The following is an 8,346-nucleotide window of genomic DNA, read 5'->3' on the forward strand; positions in this document are numbered from 1 at the left end:
CAAATACGGGTGCTCAGTAATGCACTACAGATCAGTCAGGGCCATCTTGGAGCTGCCTCGCATGAGCCATAATCCCTCTAGCACAGATGCCTTGCATGGTATTCCCTCGGCCTGAGTCTCTCTCCATGGCCCATGGCTCTTGACTTTTTTTTTTTTTTTTGTACTTTAAGTTCTAGGGTACATGTGCACAATGTGTAGGTTTGTTACATAGGTATACATGTGTCATGGTGGTTTGCCGCACCCATCAGCTCATCATTTACGTTAGGAATTTCTCATAACGCTATCCCTCCCCAAGCTTCCCACCCCGCAATGGGCCCTGGTGTGTGATGTTCCCCTCCCTGTGTCCATGTGTTCTCATTGTTCAACTCCCACTTATGAGTGAGAACATGCAGTGTTTGGTTTTCTGTCCTTGTGATATTTTGCTAAGAATGATGGTTTCCAGCTTCATCTTTGTCCCTGCAAAGGACATGAACTCATCATTTTTTATGACTGCATGGTATTCCATGGTGTATATGTGCCATATTTTCTTTATCCAGTCTATTATTGATGGACATTTGGGTTGGTTACAAGTCTTTGCTGTTGTGAATAGTGCCACAACAAACATATGTGTGCATGTGTCTCTATAGTAGCATGATTTAAAATCCTTTGGGTATATACCCAGTAATGGGATTGCTGGATCTAATGGTATTTCTAGTTCTAGATCCTTCAGGAATCGCCACACTGTCTTCCACAATGGGTGAACTAATTTACACTCCCACCAACAGTGTAAGAGCATTCCTATTTCTCCACATCCTCTCCAGCATCTGTTGTTTGTGACTTTTTAGTGATAACCATTCTAACTGGCGTGAGATGGTATCTCATTATGGTTTTGATTTGCATTTCTCTAATGACCAGTGATGATGAGCATTTTTTCATATGTCTGTTGGCTCCATAAATGTCTTCTTTTGAGAAGCATCTGTTAATATCCTTTGCCCGCTTTTTAATGGGGTTGTTTTTTCTTGTAAATTTAAGTTCTTTGTAGATTCTGGATATTAGCCAGTTGTCAGATGGATAGATTGCAAAAATTTTCTCCCAATCTGTAGGTTGCCTGTTCACTCTGATGATAGTTTCTTTTGCTGTGCAGAAGCTCTTTAGTTTAATTAGATCCCATTTGTCAATTTTGGCTTTCATTGCCATTGCTTTTGGTGTTTTAGTCATGAAGTCCTTGCCCATGCCTATGTCCTGAATGGTATTGCCTAAGTTTTCTTCTAGGGTTTTTATGGTTTTAGGTCTTACATTTAAGTCTTTAATCCATCTTGAGTTAATTTTGTATTATGTGTAAGGAAGGGATCCAGTTTCAGCTTTCTACATATGGCTAGCCAGTTTTCCCAGCACCATTTATTAAATAGGGAATCCTTTCCCCATCGCTTGTTTTTGTCAGGCTTGTCAAAGATCAGGTGGCTGTAGATGTGTGGTGTTATCTCTGAGGCCCCTGTTCTATTCCATTTGTCTATATCTCTGTTTTGTACCAGTACCATGCTGTTTTGGTTACTGTAGACTTGTAGTATAGTTTGAAGTCAGGTAGCGTGATGCCTCCAGCTTTGTTCTTTTTGCTTAGGATTGTCTTGGCTATGCGGGCTCTTTTTTGGTTCCATATGAAATTTAATGTAGTTTCTTCCAATTATGTGAAGAAAGTCAGTGGTAGCTTGACGGGGATAGCATTGAATCTATAAATTACCTTGGGCAGTATGGCCATTTTCACGATATTGATTCTTCCCATCCATGAGTATAGAATTTTCTTCCATTTGTTTGTGTCCTCTTTTATTTTGGTGAGCAGTGGTTTGTAGTTCTCCTTGAAGAGGTCCTTCACATCCCTTGTAAGTTGGATTCCTAGGTATTTTATTCTCTTTATAGTAACTGTGAATGGGAGTTCACTCATGATTTGGCTCTCTGTCTGTTGTTGTATAGGAATGCTTGTGATTTTTGCACACTGATTTTGTATCCGGAGACTTTGCTGAAGTTGCTTATCCACTTAAGGAGACTTTGGGCTGAGACAATGGGGTTTTCTAAATATACAGTAATGTCATCTGCAAACAGAGACAATTTGACTGAATGTAGACAGTCAGAGACAATTTAACTGAATACCCTTTATTTCTTTCTCTTGCCTGATTGCCCTGGCCAGAACTTCCAATACTATGTTGAATAGGAGTGGTGAGAGAGGGCATCCTTGTTTGTGCCAGTTTTCAAAGGGAATGCTTCCAGTTTTTGCCCATTCAGTATACTATTGGCTATGGGTTTGCCATAAATAGCTCTTATTATTTTGAAATACGTTCCATCAATACCTAGTTCATTGAGAGTTTTTAGCATGAAAGGCTGTTGACTTTTGTTCAAGGCCTTTTCTGCATCTATTGAGATAATTATGTGGTTTTTGTCGTTGGTTCTGTTTATATGCTGGATTACGTTTATTGATTTGCGTATGTTGAACCAGCCTTGCGTCCCAGGGATGAAGCCAACTTGATCGTGGTGGATAAGCTTTTTGATGTGCTGCTGGATTCAGTTTGCCAGTATTTTATTGAGGATTTTCACATCGATGTTCATCAGGGTTATTGACCTAAAATTCTCTTTTTTGTTGTTGTGTCTCTGCCAGGCTTTGGTATCAGGATGATGCTGGCCTCATAAAATGAGTTAGGGAGGATTTCCTCTTTTTCTATTGGTTGGAATAGTTTCAGAGGGAATGACACCAGCTCCTCTTTGTACCTCTGGTAGAATTCGGCTGTGAATCCGTCTGGTCCTGGACTTTTTTTGGTTGGTAGGCTATTAATTATTGTCTCAATTTCAGAACCTGTTATTGGTCTACTCAGAGATTTAACTTCTTCCTGGTTTATTCTTGGGAGGGTGTTGTGTGTCCAGGAATTTATCCATTTCTTCTAAATTTTCTAGTTTATTTGCGTAGAGGTGTTTATAGTATTCTCTGACAGTAGTTTGTATTTCTGTGGGATCTGTGGTGATATCCCCTTTATCATTTTTTATGCCACTTATTTGATTCTTCTCTCTTTTCTTCTTTATTAGTCTTGCTAGCAGTCTATCTATTTTGTTGATCATTTCAAAAAACCAGCTCCTGGATTCATTGATTTTTTGAAGGGCTTTTTGTGTCTCTATCTCCTTCAGTTCTGCTCTGATCTTAGTTATTTCTTTTCTGTGCTAGCTTTTGAATTTGTTTGCTCTTGCTTCTCTAGTTCTTTTAATTGTGATGTTAGGGTGTCAATTTTAGATCTTTCCTGCTTTCTCTTGTGGGCATCTAGTGCTATAAATTCCTCTCTACAAACTGCTTTAAATGTGTCCCAGATATTCTGGTACGTTGTGTCTTTGTTCTCACTGGTTTCAAAGAACATCTTTATTTCTGCTTTCATTTTGTTATTTACCCAGTAATTACTCAGGAGCAGGTTGTTCAGTTTCCATGTAGTTGTGCAGTTTTGAGTGAGTTTCTTAATCCTGAGTTCTAATTTGATTGCACTATGGTCTGAGAGACAGTTTGTTGTGATTTCTATTCTTTTACATTTGCTGAGGAGTTTTTACTTCCAATTATGTGGTGAATTTTAGAATAAGTGCAATGTGGTGCTGAGAAGAATGTCTATTCTGTTGATTTGGGGTGGAGAGTTCTGCAGATGTCTATTAGGTCCGCTTGGTCCAGAGCTGAGTTCAAGTCCCGGATATCCTTGTTAATTTTCTGTCTTGTTGATCTAATGTTGACAGTGGGGTGTTAAAGTCTCCCATTATTATTGTATGAGAGTCTAAGTCTCTTTGTAGGTCTCTAAGAACTTGCTTTATGAATCTGGGTGCTCCTGTATTGGGTTCATATATATTTAGGATAGTTAGCTCTTGTTGAATTGATCCCTTTACCATTATGTAATGGCCTTCTTTGTCTCTTTTGATCTTTGTTGGTTTGAAGTCTGTTTTATCAGAGACTAGAATTGCAACCCCTGCTTTTTTTTTTTTGCTTTCCATTTGCTTGGTAGATCTTCCTCCATCCCTTTATTTTGAGCCTATGTGTGTCTTTGAATGTGAGATGGGTCTCTGAATACAGCACACTGATGAGTCTTGACTCTTTATCCAATTTGCCAGTCTGTGTCTTTTAATTGGGGCATTTAGTCCATTTACATTTAAGGTTAATATTGTTATGTGTGAATTTGATCCTGTCTTTATGATGCTAACTGGTTATTTCACCTGTTAATTGATGCGGTTTCTTCATATCGTCAATGGTCTTTACAATTTGACATGTTTTTGCAGTGGCTGGTACCAGTTGTTGCTTTCCATGTTTAATGTTTCCTTCAGGAGCTCTTGCAAGGCAGGCCTAGTGGTGACAAAATCTGTCAGCATTAACTTGTCTGTAAAGGATTTTGTTTCTCCTTCACTTATGAAGCTTAGTTTGGCTGGAAATGAGATTCTGGGTTGACCCTCTCCCTCTCCCTCTCCCTCTCCCTCTCCCCACGGTCTCCCTCTCCCTCTCTTTCCACGGTCTCCCTCTGATGCCGAGCCGAAGCTGGACTGTACTGCTGCCATCTCGGCTCACTGCAACCTCCCTGCCTGATTCTCCTGCCTCAGCCTGCCGAGTGCCTGCGATTGCAGGTGCGCGCCACCACGCCTGACTGGTTTTTGTATTTTTTTGGTGGAGACGGGGTTTCGCTGTGTTGGCCGGGCTGGTCTCCAGCTCCTAACCGCGAGTGATCCGCCAGCCTCAGCTTCCCGAGGTGCCGGGATTGCAGACGGAGTCTCGTTCACTCAGTGCTCAATGGCACCCAGGCTGGAGTGCAGTGGTGTGATCTCGGCTCGCTACAACCTCCACCTCCCAGCCGCCTGCTTTGGCCTCCCAAAGTGCTGAGATTGCAGCCTTTGCCCGGCCGCCACCCCGTCTGGGAAGTGAGGAGCGTCTCTGCCTGGCCGCCCATCGTCTGGGATGTGAGGAGCCCCTCTGCCTGGCTGCCCAGTCTGGAAAATGAGGAGCGTCTCTGCCCGGCCGCCATCCCATCTAGGAAGTGAGGAGCGCATCTTCCTGGCCGCCATCCCATCTAGGAAGTGAGGAGTGTCTCTGCCCGGCCGCCCATCGTCTGAGATGTGGGGAGCGCCTCTGCCCCACCGCCCCGTCTGGGATGTGAGGAGCGCCTCTGCCCGGCCGGGACCCCGTCTGGGAGGTGAGGAGTGTCTCTGCCCAGCCGCCCCGTCTGAGAAGTGAGGAGACCCTCTGCCTGGCAACCGCCCCATCTGAGAAGTGAGGAGCCCCTCCGCCCAGCAGCCACCCCATCTGGGAAGTGAGGAGCGTCTCCGCCCAGCAGCCACCCCGTCCGGGAGGGAGGTGGGGGTCAGCCCCCGCCAGGCCAGCCGCCCCATCCGGGAGGGAGGTGGGGGGTCAGCCCCCTGCCCGGCCAGCCGCCCCGTCCGGGAGGTGAGGGGCACCTCTGCCCGGCCGCCCCTACTGGGAAGTGAGGAGCCCCTCTACCTGGCCAGCCGCCCCGTCCGGGAGGGAGGTGGGGGGGTCAGCCCCCCGCCTGGCCAGCCGCCCTGTCCGGGAGGGAGGTGGGGGGTCAGCCCCCCGCCCAGCCAGCCGCCCCATCCAGGAGGGAGGTGGGGGGGTCAGCCCCCGCCCGGCCAGCCGCCCCGTCCGGGAGGTGAGGGGCGCCTCTGCCCGGCCGCCCCTACTGGGAAGTGAGGAGCCCCTCTGCCCGGCCACCACCCTGTCTGGGAGGTGTGCCCAGCGGCTCATTGAGAACGGGCCATGATGACAGTGGCAGTTTTATGGAATAGAAAGGGGGGAAAGGTGGGGAAAAGATTGAGAAATCGGATGGTTGCCGTGTCTGTGTAGAAAGAAGTAGACATGGGAGACTTTTCATTTTCTTCTGTACTAAGAAAAATTCTTCTGCCTTGGGATCCTGTTGATCTGTGACCTTACCCCCAACCCTGCACTCTCTGAAAGTGCTGTGTCCACTCAGGGTTAAATGGATTAAGGGCGGTGCAAGATGTGCTTTGTTAAACAGATGCTTGAAGGCAGCATGCTCGTTAAGAGTCATCACCACTCCCTAATCTCAAGTACCCAGGGACACAAACACTGCGGAAGGCCTCAGGGTCCTCTGCCTAGGAAAACCAGAGACCTTTGTTCACTTGTTTATCTGCTGACCTTCCCTCCACTATTGTCCTATGACCCTGCCAAATCCCCCTCTGCGAGAAACACCCAAGAATGATCAATTAAAAAAAAAAAAAAAAAATACTTGAGATTAAATAAATCTAAAGAGGACAACTAAATGTACTGAGTGATGATAGATCCTGAACCAGAATAATAATTACTTACAAAGGGCATCGTTGAGACAATGGATGAACTCTGTATATAGGGATTGTGGTTTAGATAATAGTATTTTATCAATGTTAAAAAAAAAAAGAAAATGAAATTCTGGGTTGAAAATTCTTTTCTTTAAGAATGTTGAATATTGGCCCCCACTCTCTTCTGGCTTGTAGGGTTTCTGCCGAGAGATCCGCTGTTAGTCTGATGGGCTTCCCTTTGAGGGTAACCCGACCTTTCTCTCTGGCTGCCCTTAACATTTTTTCCTTCATTTCAACTTTGGTGAATCTGACAATTATGTGTCTTGGAGTTGCTCTTCTCGAGGAGTATCTTTGTGGTGTTCTCTGTATTTCCTGAATCTGAACGTTGGCCTGCCTTGCTAGATTGGGGAAGTTCTCCTGGACAATATCCTGCAGAGTGTTTTCCAACTTGGTTCCATTCTCCCTGTCACTTTCAGGTACACCAATCAGACGTAGATTTGGTCTTTTCACATAGTCCCATATTTCTTGGAGGCTTTGCTCATTTCTTTTTATTCTTTTTTCTCTAAACTTCTCTTCTCACTTCATTTCATTCACTTCATCTTCCATCGCTGATACCCTTTCTTCCAGTTGATCGCATCGGCTCCTGAGGCTTCTGCATTCTTCACATAGTTCTCGAGCCTTGGTTTTCAGCTCCATCAGCTCCTTTAAGCACTTCTCTGTATTGGTTATTCTAGTTATACATTCTTCTAAAATTTTTTCAAAGTTTTCAACTTCTTTGCCTTTGGTTTGAATGTCCTCCTGTAGCTCAGAGTAATTTGATCGTCTGAAGCCTTCTTCTCTCAGCTCGTCAAAGTCGTTCTCCATCCAGCTTTGTTCCGTTGCTGGTGAGGAACTGCGTTCCTTTGGAGGAGGAGAGGCGCTCTGCTTTTTAGAGTTTCCAGTTTTTCTGTTCTGTTTTTTCCCCATCTTTGTGGTTTTATCTACTTTTGGTCTTTGATGATGGTGATATACAGATGGTTTTTTGGTGTGGATGTCCTTTCTGTTTGTTAGTTTTCCTTTAACAGACAGGACCCTCAGCTGCAGGTCTGTTGGAGTACCCTGCCCTGTGAGGTGTCAGTGTGCCCCTGCTGGGGGGGTGCCTCCCAGTTAGGCTGCTCGGGGGTCAGGGGTCAGGGACCCACTCGAGGAGGCAGTCTGCCCGTTCTCAGATCTCCAGCTGAGTACTGGGAGAACCACTGCTCTCTTCAAAGCTGTCAGACAGGGACATTTAAGTCTGCAGAGGTTACTGCTGCCTTTTTGTTTGTCTGTGCCCTGCCCCCAGAGGTGGAGCCTACAGAGGCAGGCAGGCCTCCTTGAGCTGTGGTGGGCTCCACCCAGTTGGAGCTTCCCGGCTGCTTTGTTTACCTAAGCAAGCCTGGGCAATGGCGGGCGCCCCTCCCCCAGCCTCGCTGCCGCCTTGCAGTTTGATCTCAGACTGCTGTGCTAGCAATCAGCGAGACTCCGTGGGCGTAGCACCCTCCGAGCCAGGTGCAGGATATAATCTGGTGGTGCACCGTTTTTTAAGCCCGTCGGAAAAGCACAGTATTCGGGTGGGAGTGACCCGATTTTCCAGGTGCCGTCCGTCACCCCTTTCTTTGACTCGGAAAGGGAACTCCCTGACCCCTTGTGCTTCCCGAGTGAGGCAATGCCTCGCCCTGCTTCGGCTCGCACACGGTGCACACACCCACTGACCTGCGCCCACTGTCTGGCACTCCCTAGTGAGATGAACCCGGTACCTCAGATGGAAATGCAGAAATCACCCGTCTTCTGCGTCGCTCACGCTGGGAGCTGTAGACCGGAGCTGTTCCTATTCGGCCATCTTGGCTCCTCCCAATATTGGGCTTTTATAATGAAGCTTAAAAGGGAATTGGGCTGGGTCTGTTAGGACTAGAACATCTTGTGATGCTGTATGGTTGGCTAGATAATGGCTTCCCAAAGATGTTTCCATCCTAATCCCCAGAACCTGTGAATGTCATTTTATATGGCAAAAGATATTTTGCAGATTTGATTAAATTAAGG

Source organism: Homo sapiens, chromosome 13, assembly GCF_000001405.40.
Source record: "Homo sapiens chromosome 13, GRCh38.p14 Primary Assembly".
Taxonomy (NCBI): Eukaryota; Metazoa; Chordata; class Mammalia; order Primates; family Hominidae; genus Homo; species Homo sapiens.